Below are 24,652 nucleotides of genomic sequence, written 5' to 3'. Positions count from 1 at the left end.
TAAACTTTCCAGTGCCTTGATCTTGGACTTCTCAGCCTCTAGAACAGTGAGAAAATAAATCTGTGTTCTTCTTAAATTACCCAGTCTCTGGTGTTTTGTTATAGCACAAATTGACTAAGACATCCTCTTTCCTCCTTTATCAGATATAACCAGTCTATTGAATTATGTATTAACCATTTCCTCACTTTCTGTATAATATCCTTGTTTTATATTTTATTATCTGCTTTTATATTTATATTTTATTCCTTCTGCTTTTTGGGGAGAGATGTAATTCCTTTTTCTTTTTCTTTACTAACTACATAAATTGGATGCTTAGATTGTTAGTTTCCTTCCTTCCTACCTTCCTTCTGCCTTCCTTCTTTTCTTCCTTCCTTCACGTTTGTTAACCACAGGAAAAAAACCTTTAAATAGACATTAGGCATTATTGTTAAATAAACTGTTAAATTACTGTTAAATAAACAGTAGCTATTATTGTGGATTTGTCTGTTTTCCTTTGTAATTTTCTTCCTCTCCTGCTTCCTTTCTTCGTTCCTTCCTTCCTTTTCATCTTCCTGTTTTTTCTATAATATGAACTTAAATTTGATACTATGTATTTTCATCAGTTGACAATATTTCCTAATTTTTTATTGTAAGTTCATCTTTGCGTCATGTACTATATAGATCTTATTTGACCCTAGTGTAATTGACTTTTTAAGAAATATTCAAAAGGAGTTTTTAGTTATTCTACTGTAATTGATTTCTAGTTTAGTTTCACTCTGATTAGAAAACATGCTCTGTATGATTTCAGTTCATTGAAATTTGTTACAACTTATAGTTCTTTAAAAAATGTTCAGTGTTTATTTAAAGGTTTTTTTCTTGTGGTTTTTATGTTCAAAACACTACATTCTTATTTTTTCTTCTTCTGTTATTTACAGAGACAAGTTTGTTAAAGTAGTCAGCATTATTGTGGATTTTCTATTTCCCTTTGTAATTTTAGCATATTGCTTTATGAGTTATGAGGTTATGTTCTTGGAGGCACATACATTTAGAAATGTTGTATTTACGAAAACTTTTATTATCAGTAGCTGTCTTTAGTGATTTTTTAAAATTTTATTTTAAAGTTTTCTCTTAATATAGGCATACAGTTGACCATTGAACAATATGGGGGTTAGGGACAGTGATTCCCTGCACAGTAGAAAATCTGTGTATAACTTTTGACTTCCCCAGAACTTAACTACTAATAGGCTTATGTTGACCAGAAGCCTTCACAATAACATAAACAGTTGATTAACACATATTTTGTATGTTATATGTAATATGTATTGTATTCTTACATAAAGTAAGCAGAGAAAATGTTATTAAGAAAATTATAAGAGGAAAATATATTTAGTATTTATTATGTGGAAGTAGATTGTCATATGCCTTTATCCTTGTCATCTTTACGTTATGTAGGGTGGGGAGGAGGAGGAAAAGGAGAGGTTATTCTTGCTGTCTCGGGCTGGAAGAGGTGGAAGAAAATCCACATGTTAAGTGGACCTATGCAGCTTGAGTCTGTGTTGTTCAAGGGCCAACTGTATTCGTTCTGTTAGCCACGATTTTCCAGAGAAAAGAATCAATTACATATACATACATAAACACACATATGTATGAGTGTGTATATGTACATACATATATATGAGAGAGAGAGAGAGAGAGAGAGGGAGAGAGAGAGATTTATTATGAGAAATGGGTTCATTTAATTTTGGAGGCTGAGAAGTCCCAAGATCTCTATTTAGCAAACAGAAGATGCAGGAGAACTGATGGTATAGTTTCAGTCTTAGTCTAAAGAACTGAGAAGGAAGAATATTGATGGTGTCAGTTCCAGTCAAAGTCCAAAGGTCTTTGGGGAAGGCTGAGAGAAAGATTAATATTATTCATTTTCGACAATGTACTGGGGTCCTTCCTCAAGGGGACCCAGCCTTGCCCTCATTAGAAGGATTCTGGATCTGTATGTAAACTGGCTTGTCTAGGAATTGGGAGGTCATGACTCTCCATTTCTATGACTCAAATTAGACTTCTGTTCACTTGACCTAGAACTTTTCTGTCCGTAAAGGTCAAGTAAGAATTTAGTAGGCTTCCTTTCTGTTTCACTTTTAGGAACACCCATAATTAAATAGCCAATGCCATAGGTCAGTTCAAGGCCAGCTCTTCTGATTGTTGCTTTGACTCTACTGTCCTTCACAGTAACCATACCCACCTTGCCTTGGAGATTGAATCCTGCCTCTTGGCCCTTGGCATCCAGGATCCAATTACTCCCATTGCATTTAGGTTTTCTAATGTAGTGACTTCAATTCCCACTGTGAGGTCTGCTCCACAGAGAAGAGTGATCACAAAGATTTTCAAGAATGCTGAGGCTTCACTTACAAATTTATTTCCTCACAGTATTGGTCAGTGGTATGTCTTCTAGACCGTTCCAATATAAGTGAATGGATCTTAAATGGTAAATCCACTCTAACATTCCAATCTCCCTAAGACTTTGAATTCTTTCCACTAAGTCAAACCAAGGCATGTCTGGCATTTTTAATTTACTCACTGTGGGCCACCTTTTGGTCCATTCTTCACTTTCCACCAAACAAACTTTTAAAATCCCTCCTAACTGCCAAAGCTTTAACATTAAATGCAGAATCTCTGCTCAGTGACTCTATGCCAATACGCCTGATCCAACATTATTTGCCTTTCACTATTATCTCACACCCTTTATACCAGTTTCCACACATGTCCCCCAGATTTCTCTCTGTATAAAGTAGAAAACTCAAGTAGTTCTTCTGGAGGGTAGCACATACCCTCAGGGGTTATACTTTTTACCTTACCTCTAGGGGGATGCTGGGACATGAGTCTAGCTACAGGTCTGGAAGCAAAGAGAGGTGGTGGGGTGGGTTCTTAGGAGAATCAGCATTGCCTTGCTTACCATCTGCCTCAGGGGAGGCTATTTCAGTTTCTTTAGTCAAAGCAGCAGCAATCCCCTTAGAGGAGGTTAGAGAGGCTACTACCCTTGAGGTTGGAGAGATCCCCTCCAGTAGGGCTGGGGAGGTCTCTTCTACTGTCAAAGAAGACTCATTCGAATTTAGGAGTTTAATGTCCCTAGCTTCATCTGGGTCTTCCAACTTACATGATCCTATTCTTTCCCAATCAATGCCCTTGCTTTAACAGTAGACACCCTACCAAAGTGAGAAAATGTTTACCTCCTATCTCACTGAATGTTTTTACTGACCCTCTCAATAATTCTTCCATGTCTTTTTATATATCTTACATATGTTTTATATTTTTCTTCTTCTTGCATTTTTATGTCATTTCAACAGATTTGTTTTGCATCAACATTTCTTCAGTTAGGCCTCATTTATTTTTTACTTTACCCATTGTCTTTTAAATTTTAATTATCTTATTATTAAAAGCAACATATAATCCAAATTTTATAAAAATATCAATATTTAGAAGACCAGAAACAACTGTATCAAAAAGCAAGAGATATCTGAAAAAGTGCTAGAGTAAGAAATTTTCATTTTAATCTACACACTTTCTATAATTTTGAAATTTTCCATTATGAGCTTGCATTACTTTTGTAACCACAGAAGATTCTACATTTTTAGAAGAAAGCAATCTATTTAGATAATATTTTAAATGTTAATATCTTTATCTTCTTAGATGTTGTTTAATCCCTGTGTAAACATGGTTTCCTGACAAAATAGTTTTTGCATATAAATCCCTACAGGCTGACCTGGCTAATTATATAGTCATATCATGCAGAATACAATATATTGGACAAAACTTAATATTTTCTAGATGATAATTAAAATTGCAAGCCTTCTTTCTTCATTGCATGAATGTTAACATAATGTTTATACATTTCTTTGCCTTTCAAGTGTGAAATTAGAGTAAATGGGCCACTAACTGGTCCCTGGAAGTAGAATAATGACCAGCTAACTGGACTGTAAGTCTCTACATTCACTGTAACTGCAGAGAATTTGATAGGTGATTATTTAATACAGTTTCAAATGATTTTCCACTATACTGGAAGAACTAGTATATGTCTCAATAATGCCTGATCACCTTCAGGATTTTTTGATATTTCACTAAACAATACATTTATCCTATTTGCCTGTTTTATTGAAAGTACTCAGATAAAATGTTAGGTAGAGAAAAATTACCACATATATGAAAGGGAAATCTGTATTCCTTGTATTGAGTATACTTTTCTTTGGCAGAGGACATAATTTAAAAAGTTAACCATTATTGAGGAATATTAAAGGAATAGATTATTCCATTTTATGAACAAAATCCAAAACAAATGACAAATGGCTGTCCAAGGATGTATTTATTTTATTTTTCTTGAAGCTCAGGTTTAAACTTCTCTATTTCAAACATCACTCATTATTTCAGAATAATGCCTAGATTTGTTTCACAGGCTAAAATCATTGCAATAACAGATTAGAAAACAGTCAATTGCCATTCTAATAAAAAGCTTTTGGTAAGAGGCTCATTTACAAGTCCTGAAAGAAGGAAATAGACTTAGTCACTGAACCACTCAGTAATACATTTTAGAAAAGTCATACAAATCATATCACATCTTCAGAGAATACACAGTGGCTTAGTACCTCTATGGCTTCAAGAACTACCTTGGTAGGAACTATAAAAGCATATTATAGTCCCATAGGTTGTGGTAGGTCAGGATGTGTGTGTTTGTGTGTGTGTGCTGTATGCGTGTATGTATGCGTGAAAGAAAAAGAGACAAAGAGAAAAAAGAGCAAGAGATTGAGAATGAGCAGGAAGAAAAGAAGAGAGTTGATTCTTACTATTAAACACAGGATTCTGAGAAAGAGTCAAAAACTATTAATCTTTGAATTAAAGTAAAGAGAGAAAGCATTTCCTAATATTTGCAAAATGGCAGTCTGGAATTAGGAATGGTATCTATCTGTTCTAAATAGTGCAAGTATAAATTACACTAAGAATTCAATCTATAGGAAGGCCTCAGTGACAAGATTTAACAGTTATAGTAAACAAGTTATAGTAAACAATTATTAGAAAGTTAAAATTTTGTAAATTATTAGAAAACATAATTTTGTGTGAGAAAAATGTATAAATACCAACTGCCTTGATTCAGCCTGGATTAGAATTATAACTGAAATCACAGGCCACAAGACACCATGGTATATGATGAGAAGAAAAGAAGGTTGTAGAAACAATTGCTTTTGAGAATGCAATGCACTGTTTTATGCTAAAATTGCCAGAAAAGGTAGAGGACATCCAGTTAAATTTCAGATAAACTAATTTTATAGTCAAACTATGCTCAAAATATTGCATGGAATATAATTATGCTAAAAATAATTTGCAGTTTTCTGAAATTCAAATTTAACTGTGCATCTTATATTTTTATACGCTAACCCTGGAAACTCTATATTAGACATTAACTGATAATGTAAATAATAGAGATAATATTGATACATATTCATGAATTTTAAAAAACATAAAATAATTTTCCCGGTGGTGCTAAAGCCAGGTGTTTTAAAAACAAAAAAATGTTGCAATGTGATTTTATGTCAGTTGTTATGAAGACCCAAGGAATAAATAATAGTAAGCAGTCAAGATACATTATATGGAACCCATATTTTGTCATTTTAAATTTGAATTTCTGGTTGGATTTTCTTTTTTAAGCAAGAAGGGCAATAAGCCCTCCTGTGATCTGCTTTCTAGTACAAAATATCTGTTACAGAATGTAACATTTACTTAAGGCTTTGATTATTGTAAAGCTTAGTTTATGTATATGTTTGTTATGGTCAATTATCAGGATGGAAATTTTACTTTTTGAGAATATACCTGTTTGAATTTGAGTTTATTTACCTAAATTGTAGTGTACATACTAACACTAGAATCATTAACTAATTTTAGACAATTTAACTTCCAACACTATTGTATATAAGTGGCATGAATTTACTTGATGGGCATCATGACCCTGTGTTGATTTTCTTTCTACAAGTCTGCATGCAAATGATGTATTTTGTGATGTTAGCAGATTAATTTCCAAACACAAAATGAAGCATGCTTTAACAGTTGTAACAGCATTATTCTAATGTCTGAAAAGAGGCATTGTTTCTGTGAAAATACATTTACAAACTTTATATTGTAAAACACCTGTTGAAGATAGCATCAACATTTCCTATGCTCATTTCTACCTTTAAATTTGGACCAATTCTTTTCCCTCGCCTAAAATATTTGTTTCTGAGCTTCCACCTATGCAAATTCAGCTCAGCCTTTAGAGCTTGGATAAAGATATATAACCATATGATTAAAAAAAAATAATCCTCTGCAGTTTCAGCTTATGGTGATCTCTCCATTTTTCTTCATTCTCAAAATAAGTGTGGTCTCCACTACCTATCTTCACACATACTGATTTTACTTTTTTTTTTGGAGATGGAATTTCGCTCTTGTTGCCCAAGCTGGAGTGCAATGGCATGGTCTTGGCTCACTGCATCCTCTGCCTTCTGGGTTCAAGCAATTCTGCCTCAGCCTCCCGAGTAGCTGGGATTATAGGTGCATGCCACCATACCTGGCTAATTTTTTATATTTTTAGTGGAAATGGGGTTTCACAATGTTAGCCAGGCTGGTCTTGAACTCCTGACATCGGGTGATCCGCCACAGCCTCCCAAAGTGCTGGGATTACAGGCGTGAACCACCACGCCCAGCCTTTACTTTTATTTTAAATATCTCTTGAGATTTACTTCCTCACCAGAATTATATACAACAAAGAGCAGATATTATTCTCTATTATATTTTTCACAGCACTCATTCATTAATTCATTTAATAAATATTTATTGAGTTGCTACCATGTTCTAGGTTTGTGAAATACGGTAGGAATTCAACCATTATTTAGATTCTTTGTAATTTGTAATCTGACAGAATTGATAGTGGTGTTAAATTCTAGTCACACAAAGGTATGAATATCATGATCTTAAAGTCCCTGGAATATTGTAGATAACTAAAAAGAGGTTGTGGAATGGAAGAAAATAAAGTCTCCAATGACTCATATTATTATTATTACTACTACTATTTTTATTATTATTGAGACAGAGTCTTATTCTGTCGCCCAGGCTGGAGTGCAGTGGCGCGATCTCGGCTCACTGCAACCTCTGCCTCCCAGGTTCAAGCGATTCTCCTGCCTCAGCCTCCCAAGTAGCTGGGCTTATAGGTGCGCGACACCACGCCTGGCTAATTTTTGTATTTTTAATAGAGACGGGGTTTCATTAAGTTGGGCAGGCTGGTCACAAACTCCTCACCTCAAGTGATCAGCCCGCCTTGTCCTCCCAAAGTGCTGGGATTACAGGTGTGAGCCACCACAATGGGCCAACTCATATATTTTAAAGGACTAGTTAATATTTTATTTTCCGTAGAAATGCAGAAGATTAATTCTTACATGAAACAAAGTACATTAGATTTTCCTTCTAAAACTCTCAGAAAAGCAGAAACAGTCATTTCATTTTGAATTTGTGGCTGCATTTTGGTGATTTAGGGTGCATGAATCCAAACAAAATAATAATAGTTAAACATTCTTCTTTCATTGTATGCAATGACATGTGGAAATAGCCACAAGTATTTGTTCAAGTAAGCAAACATAATTGAATATCAGGAGGAATGATTAGGTACACTTTGAAACCTGATTATTCTTCATGGATGAAGGCATAAATGTATGAAAAAAGTATGAAATGTATGAAAAAATAGTTCGGTTTATCCTACAGTTCAAAAACTGTCTTGGGCTTCTTTTTTTATTCCATCTGCTTCTCTAATTTAATATTTCATTTCATCTGTATAGTAAGAAGTGGTTTATTATTTTGAAAATTATGCCACTCATTAAAATATTACATTATGTATATAGAACATTGTTGTAGATAGAAAAATAGAGAATTCAGTATTTGAAAACCTGATCAGCTGCTATGCATATTTATGTTATTCTAGCCTAGATGATTTCAAAGGCATTTTCTTGTACAGAGTCATCACAGAAGCAAATAAAAGTCCAGCTTCTGAATTTCTATTTGTATTATTACTATCTAATGAATTCTGTTGTACAGCAGGTGTCAAATCATATCTGTTGTTTTGCAGTCGAGTATGAATAGAAGATATATTGCTATTGCAAATGAATCTAATATGAAACTAATGAGCAGTAATGAGCAACTGTTTTGTCATTATTGGGGCAACCACTGAGCTGCTAATAAACTCTCATTTTTGCTCTTTAGAAAAAGCAGTGACCAGGATTTATAACATGGCCTTAATGTCCCCAAAGCCTGAGGCAAAAATAAATAAATAAATGAATAAATAAATAGTGAAATCCTAAGCTGAGAATAATTTAGTCATTTTCTATATGATGGTCTTTTCTCTTATTAAAATGATCTAGTTATAATGCCTTTCAAGAATTTCTATAACTGAAGAAAAAATGAAGTATGGGTGTCCATTAAATGAATATGAAGTTGAGAAGATAGGCATCTTGCCTGATTTTCCTTAATGTAAATATAATAATTCTGGAGTTTTTCACTTGCCATTTCTTTTATAGTATAATGAAGCTAATGCAGGGAGCTTTTTAAAAAACCCAGTTACCTTAGAGGTAAAATTATTGAGGGACTTTTGTAATTAACCTTATTAGTTTCTGTAAGTGGCCTAACTTGGTAAATAACCAAGAGTACTTATCACACAGTATTATGGCCATATATTTTATGTCTCTGCCTTCTCTACAATAGTTTAAGAGCAGGGAGCTCAATAAATATTTATAGGATGAATGATGAAGAAATAATTGAATGCATGGGGGAAAAGCTAGTGCATTAAATTTGCATTCTTAGGTAGAAATGAGGTTTATTGTGTGTGCATGCGTGTGTGCGTGTGTGCGTGTGTGCATGTGTGTGTGTATTAAATTTTTGTAGAGATGGAGTCTTGTTATATGGCTCAGGCTGGTCTCAAACTCCTGGCCTCAAGATGATCCTTCTACCTCGACCTCCCAAAATGCTGGGATTATAGGCATGAGCCACTAACTGGCTATAATAGTTTTTAATACACAAGTATTTAATGTGTCATAAGTGCTTAAGGACTCTACTTTAACTACCTTATACTTCCAGATGAAATGTTTTAGTATGTATGATTTATGTAACTTTGTTGCTTTAACTAATAAACTTACACTAACTCTAAAAACTAATTTTGTTATCTTTCTACATATGCTTGCTACAACTGATGGTTTTGATATATAACCCAAGACTTAATCAGTATTTAAAATAACATACAGGCTTCAGTAACATTCTTTCAAAATTTTTTATATTTATGTAAATTTTATAGGCTCAAAAGTTCACCCATCTGATTAAAGATAAAGCTGTGAATTATCTTTGCTTTTATTAGGCTGTTGTAGACTTAAGTCTACAAACACAAAGCTATTTGATTTGATTAATTCAATATTGCTCACTTTAGTGAGACTTTTTCCCATTTCTAATGAAGTTAACATTACGTGCATACATGTAGAAATTTTACAGTTTTTGATATGTATTATCAAACTATGTATAAATATTATATTTATAGCCTAGAGGATCTACCAAAACTTGTAGTAAACACAAACAAAGAAGGAACTACTATTTGATTGTTTAAAACACACAAAAGAAGTGCATTATATGGCCTGAAATACTATTTGACCCTGAAGATCCAAAATACTGCACAAAGATATTCTTATACAGAGTGACGAAGTTGATTTAAGATGGAGGTGTTTGGCTAAATGGGCTGTGCCTTTAAAACTGTTCTGTGTCAAGTCCTCCTCCAAATGAACCCAAGTGTTCTGAGATCCCCCCACCCCCTTATACCTTATAATGTAACAACTGTCCAGTAGATATAAATTTTTTCATATTTATTAATATACACACAATTCTACAAAATTCTAGGTTTTGGAATGTCTGAAAATTGAAAGTAAAGTCTATATTTTGATCTTACAGTACAGATAACTATCCATACTGACTTCAGATACCTTCAGAATGAATTAGTCCAATATCAGACAATCCTTAGCAAAGGCATCTGTGTTATTTGGAAGACGCTTTTTCATAGACTTACTTGTTGCAGCCAACAGTATCTGTGACTAATTGTACTAATCATAAATTCAAGTGAAGCAATGTCCTCAAAATACAACATGTAATTATTTTAGGTCTCTTATTCTCATGGTGATCTGAAGAACAGAAAGGGTAGTTAACTGTGCCATATAGATATAACTTATGGTTCATCAGGCCCGTTCATTAAAGTAAAATAAAATTCTCAATATAATCTTTAATTTTGGTAGGAGAATCTCCTATTGTTCAAAAATGTTAATAACCTTTAAAGAAATGTGCCCTAGAGATAACCTATATGTTTTAGGCTGTTTTCCATTGTTTCCCTGTCATCATGGGAAAGAAATTAAAATTATAAATTATCTCCCAGATTAACACTCGAAGTAATTCCTTCATATATTTTTGAGAATATATGTGAAAATACAATAGAGATTTTTAAAAACTGCTACTAAATCAAGGAAACATTTACCTTCACATTTTATTGATTGATTGTATTAGATATCAATTGCTTATATACTTTAAAGAGAATAGTAGCATAGTTTTTAAACAGTGCTAATTATGGATAGGGTGGAAACATGATACTCATAATTTACGATTACTTATCATAGTAATACTTGCATATAGTAACAATTAAAACAGGGCAGAAAGGCTTTTAATAAAAAGCAACAGTTCCGCTCAACCCTGCCCACCTTTTGGCTTGTTCCTGTCTTTATTTCCTTCAGTTATTACTTCCCTAATTCTTTTTTAAAAACAGAGGTGATATGTAGCCAGTATGTCCCAGTCAGCATCCATTCTGAATATAGACTTGTGTTCTGATCATTATGTGTCTATGTCATAATAGTTATCAAATATTAAAGCTGTTTGACTAATACAATTTATATCCTAATTTCTTTCTTTTTTCCTCCTTTTTTTTCTTTTTTTTTTCTTTTTGAGTGTCTTCCTCTGTCATCCAGTCTGGAGTGCAGTAGTGCGGTCTTGGTTCACTGCAACCTCTGCCTTCGGAACTCAAGCCTGACTCCCACCCACTTCAGCCTCCTGAGTAGCTGGGACCACAGGCGCACCCCACCATTGCCTGGCTAATTTTTGTAGAGACGGTGTTTCACCATGTTGCCCAGGCTGGTCTCAAACTGCTGAGCTCAAGCGATCTGTCCACTTCAGCTTCCCAAACTGCCGGGATTACAGGTGTGAGCCACTATGCCTGGCCTGCATCCCAGTTTCTTGATTTAACACATTTAAGCATTATCTATTGACTCAGCATATCTAAAAAAATTTAGCTCATTCACAATACCTGTCCCTCTTATGTTTCCCAATTTAAGACAGTTGCATGATTTAAAAAATGTCTTTTAACTTTAACTTTGTAACTTAAAATAATCCGTCACTTCAATGCATAGTAGTTTCCCTGTGTTTCTTATTGATCTTATTGCATCTCTCAACTCCCCATCACTGAGGATATTCTTAGGCCTTCTACCATTTCTTCCCATCTTTTCTGCTTGGCATCTCCAATATTGGTAATATTTACATGTTTTTCTGAAGCCATATTGAAATCTTGTCTATTGGCTAATTATATCTAGATCTAGTTATCATTATAACTATGTAAATATTTCCTTCTCTACAAATCCAGAGTCAAAATCCCTGAGCAACTCAAAGGAGAAATTTCCTGGCATCAGACAAAATCGATTATCTATTTTTTCTTTCCATCAATGACTCAAAATCATGCCTTACTGAATTTGCTTCTTATTTGGATCAGAATTTCTTGTCTGGTTTTTGTTTTTCTTTTATATCTGGATTCATCTTTCTTTCCTTGTTAAGGTAAGCAACACATTAGCCATTTGATCATATCCCTAGCTTTTTACTCATTCTACCTATTGAATGAATCTTTCCAAAATTTTTGGAAAAAATATAATAAAAAAAGTACAACAGGAAAAAAAATGAAAACAATATGGTGCAACAACTATTTATATAGCATTTACATTTCATTAGGTATTATAAATAATCTAGAGATAATTTAAAACATATGGGGGATCTACATAGGTTATATGCAAATACCATGCCATTTTATACAAGGGACTTATACATCTTAGAATCTTTCAAAAATATTGGAAAAAATATAATAAAAAATAGTATAATAATAACAATCTTTCTCTTTTTTGGATGACATTACTTCTAAAGTCTAGAGACTTCCTGTTCTAATTTTGACTGAAATTATTCTTAACCTTGTGAATACAGTTGTATCCAATCAGTTGTAACCAATTCTCTATATTCTCCTCAAGACATGAGTTTAAAAAAGGTTGACTGCGCATGTTTGACTTCCTTCAGGATATGACCAATACCTATAGTACAGAGATTTCCCTTCTAATTTACAAGTGCAATCATTAGAGGAGCCCTTGGCTCTGGTCAGAGATTGGCCCTGCTTCTTACTCAGACTCTCACAGTTCTTGCTTATTCCTTGGGCGTTAACCAACTCTTCTTTATTTTGTCAGTTTTCAGAATATGGTCTGTGGATCTCTGGATGTCTACAGAACCATTTCAGGGAGTATGTGAACTGAAAAATATTTTTATAATAACACTAAGGCATTATAGTCATCCCTCGGTTTCTGCAAGAGATTGGTTCCAGGACACCCCCATCCTCAACTCTGTCTCCTTATCCCCCAAGGATATGAAAATCTGTTGGATGTTTAAGTCCCTTGTATAAAATGGCATAGTATTTGCATATAACTTATGCACATCACCCGTATGCTCTAGGTTACTTATAATACCTAATGCAATGTAAATGTTTTATAAATAGTTGTTGCACTGTATTGTTTTTATTTGTATTATTTGTTATTCTTGTATTGTTTTTTCCAAATATTTTCAATCCATGATTGGTTGAAATCTTGTGATGCAGAACCAATAGATACAGAAGACTGAGTGCACTTTGCTTATTTCTTTGTGTTGACATTTGCACTGATGGTGCAAAAGCAATGGTGGGTAAAAGTGCTGGCACCTTAGCATAAATCCAGGCAGTAGTACCAAAGTGGACTCACAGTAAAAAAGAAAGAAAAGCAGTTTCACATAGAATGTTCTTGATGAAAAAGTAACACTTATTATTTTGATTAAATCTGGATGCTTGAGTACTAGTTTTTCAATATTCTGTGTGACAAGACAGGAAGTACTCATAAAGCACTTTTGCTGCACACTCAAACAGAGTAAGCCTTGAGAAAAAGCACTTATACAGTTATTTGAGAAATGAGCTGAACTAGACATCTTTTTTCACGGCATATCATTTTTATTTGAAAGAATGACTGACAAACTGTGATGATGTAGAATTGGATATTTGGCAATATTTTTTCTTGATAATGAATGAAATGAAACTATTGCTTCAAGGAAAACAACTCACAGTATTTGTTGCCAATAATAAAATTTGAGCTTTCGAGAAAAAATAAGTTTTTGGAAAATTTGTATCCACTACTGTGAGCTTGACAGCTTCTCAATAGTTATTTTCTATTGAGATTGGTGGTGATATTAATCAATGTGATTTTTAAAATGTATTTTGTAATGGAGGATCTACATAACTCAGTGAGCCATTATTTTCCAAACGACTAGTGCATGATGATATAAATCATAGATGGGTGAAAGAGCCATTCAAAATTTAACATTGACCCATTCATTTCAATATAACAGTGTATGGAAAATTCACTGATATGATCTCAGAGTCCACATTGCAACTAACCTTACAGAAACTGCCACTTGTCATGTATCATTGTAGTACCAAAGAAGAACACCTAAATTTGTCTGAAAAGACTATTAAAATACTTTTTCCCTTTCCTATTAAATTTCTGTATAAGAACATATTTTCTTGATATTTTTAATCACAGGGAAGATATCACAACAAATTGAATACAGAAACAAAATTCAGCTGTCTTTACTAAACTAGACATTAAAAGCGATTTTCAAAAGTGTAAGATAATGTCATTCTCATTAATTTTTTTTGTTTGGGAAAATATAGGAATTTTTGATAAAAATCAATGTTGTTTATGTTAACATATAATGAGTTTATTGTTTTTTGCAAAGTGAACTAAAAAATGTTTTTTTTTCAGGTTTAATTTGTAAAATAGCAAATATTGAAAGATATAATCCATATAAACAAATGGTCTTTGGGATCTTTAATAATTTTTATGAGTCCAAGGGGGCCCTGAGACCAAAACTCAATAATTTGGGAACGGCTGGTATTGACTTCTTGCCTGCAAAGACCTGAAGTATTTGCCATATTCCTTATGCCTAGCTGAGTTTTTGTTTCTCGATCTTTCAGAGTATTTTTGTTCTTCTGTTATTCATTCCAGTGGATCAGTAGTGGAAATGGAGATTGGCCAGTTATTTTATTCCTTTGAACTGTGTAGACAGTAGATGTTTTAGGTCCCCAAAAACCTTCATTTTGGAAAAATAATTACCTAGTTTACTTATAGATCATTAAATTTACCAGATTATTGACACTGATGGATGTCCCTATCTCTTTAAACTTACACAGTTTATGTTATAATGTTATGTCAATTTTACCATTTCCCTCTCCATTAGTAAAGGCTGTTCTCCTGGCAAAGTTACAGATTTTATTTTCTTCCCAGAAAGCTAACCATGACCTTACACCTTTCTGATTTAAAGAGGTGGGATCTTTTAAATTTCAATGACCATAAAGTTTTCTTTAAGAAACTCAAATAGAAGCATCCATCGACATTTCTGATAATTTTCTGAAGTAATAAGAAGAGGACAAAGATGGAGACATCCTTTAAAAAGGGGAGCCTTTATCATGGTAGCATTGCTTCATCTTTTTCTATAAGACTTGAAAGGCTGTTTTCAGTAATTTATGTTAATGCTTTATTTTCGAAGTTTTCTTTCTTTCATAAGCTCTTCATACTTTGACCAAGAACTGACCTTTCCCCTCTTTGAAATTTACCCTCCAACCTGCCCCTGTCTCCAGGCTAGCTTTTCATTAGGGAACATGGGAGACATACCCTGATGTTGCTATGCATTGCGCTCTGGTGGCAGGCCTCCTGACAAAAATCAAAGAGCTGCTAGTGCCATAAGGATGAACTCTGTGATCTCAGCCCCCTAAAGAGAAGCATCCCCAGAGAGAGGTTCAATTCATGTCAGAGTTAAAACTTAATTCATCTGAGAGCTGAGAAGCAGTCAGGCTTTTGAATATTTTTATTGAGAAACATTTTCCAAATCACAGATCAAATTAATATTTCAGTTACTTCTTTGAATGAATCTAGTTCAAGGCAACAAACAAAGCCAATGGCTCATGTGCAATGCGATTTAAATGAAGTTTTTAGCATTTTAAAACAGTTTTTGCTACTTTTTTTTTTTTTTAAAGCAGAGCAGGGACATGGCTTTTTCTAGAGATATATTGCTTTCAGGAGCTACCCATTGCTTAGCACACCCATTGCTTAGCACAATTTAATTCTAATGTAACTGTACTTGGGATTCTTAAATGCCATCAATGGGAATGCATGGAGTATACTCAGAGGAGTTAGAGTCTTCCTTTTACTTTTATGATGTTAAGTACCATACTAAGCTAAATAAGATTGTGTTACAGTACTGGAACCTGTCTTAAAGTGGAAGTAAGTTGTTATAATTCTGGCTTAGGAAAGACTGAGTTTAATTTTGCTAAATGTTGAAAGATGTATCTAACCTTCCCAGGAAATGTCTTGTGGCCTTAAATTAAGTGATAATATTTACTGAACACTAAAATATACCAGTTACTCTTCTAAGTAATTTACATGTATTAAATTATTTAACCAGTAGAACCACTTCATAGGATCAGTATTTTTATTGTGCCTATTTTTTAGGCATGGAAACCGAGGTACTAAGAGTTGAAAAACTTTACCCAAGAGAATTGGTGTCAGAAATGAAATCAGAATGCAGGCACTTTGGCTGTAGAGAGCATGAATTTAACTACTACACTATTATTCCACTCTAGGTTGTCAATATGTAGTGATCATAAAGAAACAACACTGGCCGGGCGCGGTGGCTCACGCCTGTAATCCCAGCACTTTGGGAGGCCGAGGCGGCTGGATCATGAGGTCAGGAGATCGAGACCATCCTGGCTAACAAGGTGAAACCCCGTCTCTACTAAAAATACAAAAAATTAGCCGGGCGCGGTGGCGGGCGCCTGTAGTCCCAGCTACTCGGGAGGCTGAGGCAGGAGAATGGCGTGAACCCGGGAAGCGGAGCTTGCAGTGAGCTGAGATTGCGCCACTGCAGTCCGCAGTCCGGCCTGGGCGACAGAGCGAGACTCCGTCTCAAAAAAAAAAAGAAACAACACTGAATTCTGTTAGCAGTCTGTGAGTTTTTCATTATTTCTCATGTTTAACTTTACTGATTTATTTCTCTTTCACTGTAAAACAACTGAGATAGTCATACCTTGGTACATGTTCCCTACTCTGGAATGCCCTTCTTTCTTACTGTTCAAATTCAACCCATTCTTTAATGCTCATTTCTCCATAAAACTATCTATTAATCAGGCTTTCAAAATTAGAGATGGTATGGAACACAGAGGATTTCTAGAACGATTTCTCCTCAAAGCAGTAATTACTGAGGCAACACTGAATCCATTAGCTTCTGATTGAAAACATGCTGTTACAGGGTACCTAATATCTTCTCTTCATAAACTTTTACTTAACTACTAATTATTGCCACCCTAAACTAGACTGATACCTTCGTTTTTTGACAGAAATTTAGGATTATACAACTATCTATTATTAATCTCCTGTTTATTCATATATCTGTGCTTTTGATATATATGTTTTAATGTACCACTCTTCTAGATGCTTGAAGATAAAATAATAAAGACATTGGGCCTTGTCTTTACAAATCAAATTTTTTTTTTTTTTTTGAGTTGGAGTCTCATGCTGTCGCCAGGCTGGAGTGCAGTGGCGCGATCTCGGCTCACTGCAACCTCCGCCTCCCGAGTTCAAGCAACTCTCCTGTCTCAGCCTCCTGAGTAGCTGGCACTACAGGAGTGCGCCACCACGCCCAGATAATTTTTTTTTTTTTTTTTGTATTTTTAGTAGAGACGGGGTTTCACCATGTTGGCCAGGATAGTCTCGATCTAGACCTCGTGATCCGCCTGCCTCGGCCTCCCAAAGTGCTGGGGATTACAGGCGTGAGCTACCACACCCGGCCAAAATCAGATATTTTTAAGATGTCTAACCTAGACTAGGAGACTAGGGAATAGTTCACTAACAGTAATGTTAATGTCTGTGAACTAACACATGAATGTTATATGTCTATGAACATTCTTTGGACCCTGGTTCGGTAAATGCTACAGGGTGAGTAAACTCTACTTCCCTTAGACTTTGTTAGCCCACCAGCATTCATCTGTCCAAACAACTATTTGTAATGCTTTTCCCTGGGTAACTATATCCAGATTCTTCACGACAGTGCCTCCACCTGTTACCACTTTTTCGCTTTTTTTTTTTCTAAAATATAATTTACATGGAGTAATATTTACCTTTTTTTTAGTGTAGTTCCATGAGTTTGGCAAATACACACAAATAATGTAACTGCTACCACATTACGATATAAAATCATAGTGAATATTTAAAACTTAATTTCCTAAATGGATGTGTAAGTAAAGGTACTGATGGTGGGGAGAATTACTAGCAAAATTTGGTACACTCAGAGGGTTTGCCTCTTATAGCTGAAGACTGCTCATGGGTTCACTGATAAATATAGAATCTGTTCACATTAGAGGCAAAGGATAGGATGTAGATTAAAGTTTTTTTTTTGTTTAAAGCAATTCTTGACATTCTCTTTCAGGAAGTGAATTTTGGAATATTCAAGTATGTCTTTTTTTCCCATCTATCCCTATGGACATGGGAATTCATAAAATTCCTATTCCCAACTCTTCATAAACTTAACATATGGTTTGTGTTCTCTACTTTTGTTTAATTGTGTGTGTGCATGTGTGTGTGTGTGTGTGTGTGTGTGTGTGTATGTCTGTGTGTGACTATCATAATGGGAAAATAAGAGGAACAGATTACATACTGAGTCTTTTCCCATGTGAACAGCTATCAAAGTATTTTCTAAACAACGAAGTATTATTGAAATGTAAGATATACTTCTCTCATTTTCACAATAGTGCTCAGCAAAAAATGGACAAAAGTTTTTATTTAATGAGTTCTTCTCTTTAATTGATTGAATGATTGCTTCCATATGTGTGAGCTCTACTGTAACACTAGACAAGTGACACTGGAGTGAGATTTACTTCAATATTAGGCTTAGGGCTGTTTTCTGATGATCTTTTTGATGATAAGTATAAAAAGTTGCTGTGCCATTTTGAAAGGCAAACGTTAATGTATTTCTGCCTGTGATCTGGTCCTATCATCTGGACAATATTTACCCTGAATAATTCTTTTCTTTCAGCTCAGTATGACATACTCATTTTCAGTACAAGACAGGTCATGTTTATCTGTTGCACTGTCTATGGTCCAGTGATCTCTTTTGTAGTCTAAGGGGAACTGTATAAAGACTGAACTGTGTCAAGGAGACTAAGAGTGTTAAAGTTCACGAAGAAATCAAGATAAGCCTTTGCAGAAACAAGAGGGAGTTAAAATTAGTATGAATTGATTTCCTACCCCCTTTTCAGAAATTGTTCTCACATGTTGAGAGTCTTTGGCCATTTGTGTTATGCTCTGTGTTAAGACTGTGACATGACTATGCCAGAGGATGGCCAAGGTCAACAATGTGACCTATTTTTATTTTTTCTTAATAGGAAAAAGTTGCCATTCTTTTCCAACACTAGCAGAATCTTTCTGTGTGTGGCTTTGCAGACTCCTTTTTGTGAACATTTCACATCTTTTCCTTTGATTAAGCTTGTTAGATTTCAGACCTCCTTGAACTTTAAACTTCTCATTTCCAGCTTTTCCAGTTAGATGTTCTAAATCGAATGATCTATTATACAATATTATTAGCTTATCTGTCCTTTGGCCATTCATTATTAATTTCAGATATATTTTTCTTAAAATAATAAAACAAACAGGAGATAAACATTGTTTTAAATCATTTCTATTTAAAATTGGATGAATCTATTTACAAGTTTGAATTATCTAAAACAAATAAAAATGCATTTATTATATGAATACTTTATACATCTCAGCTTATCTTTCAGATTTTCTTAAGCTCTGAGTTACAAAGAGGTCCTAGTTGTTTATTGATTATATCAGTGGCACTTTATTGATTTGATCTTGAATCTGCCTAGTGGATTACTAATGTATTAAAAATAATATATCATCAGTCACTATGAAAACAACAAAATTTTTATTAAACCACAAAATATTTATAGATTGAAGTCATATGATCACCAATTAAAGACAAAATTAAGGCAAACATTTCTTTGTCAAAATGTCCAAGCAATTACCTTAATGTTCCAACTCACTTTTTGTGTATGAACATAATGAAGTGATATTAGAATTATATTAAGAAATATTGCTGTGAGACTTTGTCAAGATGGCAGGCTTAGCAGATAAAATACCACCCAATCACTTTCTGGACACAAAAAGAGAGAAATTCTAGAAAAATGTAAAATTATTTAAATGTATATTTGAATGTGAATCCAATAAATGGAAAGCTTTGGTGCCAGAAACAAAGACTGAAATTAGACAGAGTAGTGAGCCACCACTGAAGCTGGGTGGTTCATGGGGGTCTCAGACCCTTGAGGCTATGTGTGAAGGTGATAAGGAATTGGATCCATGCAAATTGGGGTACTGAAACTGAGCTAGTAAGGGTTGCTATGTTCAGGAAAGTGGGAATAGGGAAAAATTCCCTCTGTTTGCTAGACTGGGAGCAATAGGAAGAAATTGGTATTTTCAGGTATCTTGGGTTGGAAAAATTAGGAGCTAGAATGTGCAACCCCAATCTGTGTTTTGCATAAATATGGGGTTTGTATTAATCAGGGTTCTCCAGAGAAATATAATACATATGCTATAGAAGAGGCTTATTATGGGAATTAGAACTAAAGAGGCTGTGAATTCCCGCAATATGCTGTTTGTACACCAGGGAACCGGGAAATTGGTGGGGTAATTCAGTTCAAATCTGAAGGCCTGAGAACCAGGGGAGTTGAAGGTCTGGGAAGAGGTGGAAGTAGGTGGAGGTGGTATCGGTCTGTGTCTCAAAGTACCAAGTTCAGAGAACCAGGAACTCTAATGCCTTAGGGCAGAATAAGATGGATATTCCAGCTCAAGAAGAAAGAGACTTTGCCCTTCCAATACCATTTCATTCAATTTGGATGCTGGATGGATTGGATGATGCCTCCCCATATTGATTAGGGTGGATCTTTCATGCTTAGTCTACTGATTCAAATGCTAATCTCTTCCAGAAATACCCTCACAGACACACCCAGAAATAATGTTTTATTAGCTATCTAGGCATCTTAGCTCAGTCATGTAGACACATAAAATTAGCCATCACAGAGCTCAAATTCACACTGACTACACTTGCTGGTAAACCACAACATAGGACTTGACTCATTGCTGAAGATAAAATATCTCAAGAAGTAGAAATCATAAAACTATGTGAAGAGATTTTAACATAAATATTTTGAAAATGTTAAAGAGAAAATGGAAGAGAAAACATAAAACTTGAATAGGACAGTATGAAAATGAAATGAGTTTTTTTTAACTTTTAATTATAATTTACCTACAGTGACACACCCTTTTTTTATACAGTCCTGCAAGATTTGGCAAAGATATGTACAGTTGTGTAACCACCACCATTACAATCAAGATACAGAACAGTTCCAACACTCCCACAAATTTCCCATGCCATGCTTTGTGGTCAATCTTTCCTCCCAACCCCAGGCCCTAGTAACAACTGATCTGTTTTCTGTCTCAGTAGTTTTGACTTTTCCAGAATGCCTTGTAAATTAAGTTTTTAAGTATATGTAGTAGCTTTTTGAGTGTAGCATCTCACACTCAGCATGACACATCTGAGATTCATCTATGTCATTACATGTATCAGGAGTTGCTTTTCTTTTTTCATTGAGCAGTATTTTATTGAATGGAGGTTCCACAATCTTTTTTGCCCATTTCCTAGCCAAGGGACATATAAATTGCTTTTAGCAATTTTGAATAAATATACTACAAATATTCATATATAGGTTTTTGTGTGAACATAAATTTTTATTTCATGTAGATAAGTGTCCAGGAGCTGAATTTCTGGGTCATATGGTTCGTGTATGTTTAATTTATTAGAAACTTCCAAACACCTTCCAAAGAGGTTATAACAATTTGCATTCCCACCAATAATGTATGAGGATTCTAGATTTTCTGCACCCACATCAGGAACTGGTAATGTCAGTTTATTTTTTTTTAAAGCTATTCAAATAGGTATGTAGTAGTATCTCATAATTTTAATTTACCTTTCCCTAATTACTAATGATCTTGAACACCTTTTCATGTGCATATTTGCCATATGTATATTTTCATCTGTGAAGTATTTGTTCAGAGTTTTGCCCATTTTTATTGGATTGTTTGTCTTCTTACTGAGTTTTGAGAGTTGTTTATATATTCTGGATACAAGTCCTTTATCAGATACATAATTTGCATAGATTTTTTTCTTGGTTTGTGGTTTGTTGTTTTATTATAAGCACCTTCAGAGAGAAGAATTTTTTGATTTTGATAAAGTTCAATTTGTTAACTTTTCTTATAATATTTTATGCTTTTGATATTTCATTTTTTTTCCTATGGATGTTTTCTCTGGTTTCAGGTTTTACTTTTATGTCTGTCATCCGTTTGGATTTAATTTTTGTATATGGTGTGAGGTAGGAAAGGAAGTTTATATTTTTTTGCATGTGTATATCCAGTTTTTCCAACACAATTTTTAAAAAATATTATCCTTTATCTAACAATTAGTTTTGCATTTTTGTCAAAATCAATTGTCAAAAATCAATTGAGGCTGGGCACGATGGTTTATGCCTGTAATCCCAGCACTTTGGGAGGCCAAGGCAGGCAGATCACTTCAGGTCAGGAGTTCGAGACCAGCCTGGCCAACATGGTAAAACACTGTCTCTACTAATAATACAAAAATTAGCTGGGTGTGGTGGTGCGCACCTGTAATCCCAGCTGCTTGGGAGGCTGAGGCGGGAGAATTGCTTGAACCTGGGAGGCAGAGGTTGCAGTGAGTTGAGATCGTGCCACTGCACTCCAGCCTGGGAGACAGAGTGAGACTCCATCTCAAAAAAAAAAAAAAAAAAAATCGATTGAACTATGTATTAGTGGGTCTATTTCTGAAGTCTTTTTTGTTGCAAATATATGTATATATGTGGCTTTATAGTCTTGATATCAGGTAATATAAGTCTTCAAATGTTATTCTTTTTTCAAAATTGTTTTGACTTTTCTAATTCCTTGGCTTTCCATATAAATTTCAGAATTAGTGTGCTGATTTCTATAAAGAAATCTTGCTGGAATTTTGATTGGAAATGTATTGAATCTATATTGAGTCCAAAATCTATATTAGATCTATCAGTTTGAAGAAGCTGACATTTAAAGAATATTGAATCTTAACAACATTATGTCTTTCAACCTATGAGCATGGCATATTTTTCTACTTATGTAGGTATTCTTTTTTTTTTTAAAGAAATATAGAAGAGAGATGACTTGATTCAAGTTAACTATTCTTCTGCTTTCTTGAATCCAGTTTTTAAGTTTTCTTTCTGCTTCTCTCCCAAGTAGAACACTCACAGGGTAAAATTTCCATTTCTTGCTCTGCTTTATGCTTCAAGGTGTATAAGAACATAATCTTTTTAAGTAGGTTACAAAGGCGGACATCTAAAGGTATTCTTTAATTTTTCCTACCATTGGTTTTGTAATTTTCAGCATATAGTCCATATTTAGTTGGATTTATGTCTAATTAATGTAAATGATACAGTTTTATTTGAATTTGCAATTGTTCATTGTTACTATATATAAGATACGGTTTTTTTCATATTGACTTTGCATTCTTTGTGCTTGTTAGTTCTAGCAGCATTTTAGTGGATTCCTTAGGATTTTCTACATGATAATCCTATTGTTCATAAATAGTGCCAGTTTTATTTTGAATTTTCCAATATGGATGCCTTTTATTTCTTTTTGTTGCCTTCTTGCCTACTGAAGCTATGACCTTCAGTATGATTTTGAACAGGATTGGTGAGAGCAGAACATCCTTATTTTGGTTCTGATCTTAGGGAAAAATCATTCAGTGTTTCACCAGTAAGTATAATGTTGGCTGTAGGTTTCTTGTGAATGTACTTTATTAACTTAAGGATGTAATATAATATCATATATATAGGAGCAGTATTAAAACATGTTTGATAAGGAAACCAAAAAATGTCAAAAGAGTGGTTGGCTCTGGGGAGGACTGGAGAAGGAATGGAATTAGAGGAGAATATTAACGAATTTCAGATTTGTGTATAATGTTTTATTTACAAAATAGCCACAGAAATATGTCAAATCTTTACGTTTATTAATTCTAAGTTTTGATCTTTTACATATTTGTAGTTTTACCCTCCTTTTCTCTAAATATTAGAAATATATCACAAGGAAGGTCTTGCTGCAATGTGTGAACATCTTAACAAAAATTTCATTAACCTTTAGACTTTATGATTGCATTAGTGAATTGCAGAAATCCAAATATTAATATAATTCAAAATTTAACTATTAAATTAAGTTTTACCCAATATTTGTCTATTTATCACTCTATCCATCTATCTTCCATCCATCCACTTCAGCAAGAGACTTATTTTTTATGAAATGCCTCAAATGATCAGAAAATCAGAGAATAATATAACAAATTTGCGTAATGACTTAATGTTGACTTTTTAATCCCCCTCATAACATTTTTTTTTAGTTGTTAAATGCTCTATATATTTTTATGTTTTAAAAATGTTCATTCCTATTTAATTATATCTTCCAGCTTGCTTTTGCTAAAAGGAAAGCTATTGAATTTTAAATGCTTATTTTATAATGATCCCTTTTAATAATTTTAATACTTTCTAGTTGTTTTTCTTTTGGGGGGTAAACAGTAATAGTAACCAAAAATATATAATTTATTTTTCTTCTTTTCAAAATGTATATCTCATTATTGTCCTCATCTAATTGGATGGACTGGAACTACAAGGACAATGTCAATGTACTGAGCATATGTTTTTCCCCTGATGTTAAAAGGATTTAATTCAATGTGTCAGGTATACTGGGTTGAGTTAAGCATCTTTATTATGTTAAACAAGGATCTTCCCTTTGTTAGTTTAGTAAGAAGATTGCATTTTATCAAACTTTTAAAAGTGTGTGCCATAGTTAGCTAAAAATACAATGCCTTTTAGCACTTATCCATACAATTATATGGTTTTTCTTCTCTTACCAGAGATAAATTGTATTGACATATTTCCCACTCTTGGATTCTAGAAATGACCTACTTGGTCACTGAGTATTTTTCTCTTAACATACTTAAAACACTTTGCTAAGAGGGTTTTTTTCCTCTCATTTTCAGTGATACATTTAGTTGTACTGCACAGTGTTTTTTATTGTTGTTTGCTTTTTTTTTGTTAGGTTGTGATATCAAGGTGTTCTTGATT

General features: G+C 33.9%; 1 protein-coding gene across 2 annotated transcripts in view, besides 1 other annotated feature; it reads right to left on the bottom strand.

Moving 5' to 3' along the window:
- Positions 1 to 24,652, bottom strand: part of VRK2 (VRK serine/threonine kinase 2) — a 252,329-nt gene that overhangs the window by 151,025 nt on the left and 76,652 nt on the right. The window lies entirely within an intron of this gene.
- Positions 2,876 to 3,076: a silencer, noted in NCBI's record as "peak3709 fragment used in MPRA reporter construct". NCBI's record gives its function as "represses an SCP1 promoter by STARR-seq MPRAs in K562 erythroleukemia cells {active_cell/tissue: K562}" and the evidence as "EXISTENCE:reporter gene assay evidence [ECO:0000049][PMID:32103011]".

This window comes from Homo sapiens, chromosome 2 (assembly GCF_000001405.40).
Source record: "Homo sapiens chromosome 2, GRCh38.p14 Primary Assembly".
Classification (NCBI taxonomy): Eukaryota; Metazoa; Chordata; class Mammalia; order Primates; family Hominidae; genus Homo; species Homo sapiens.
This window is presented reverse-complemented; position numbering and strand designations above follow the sequence as displayed.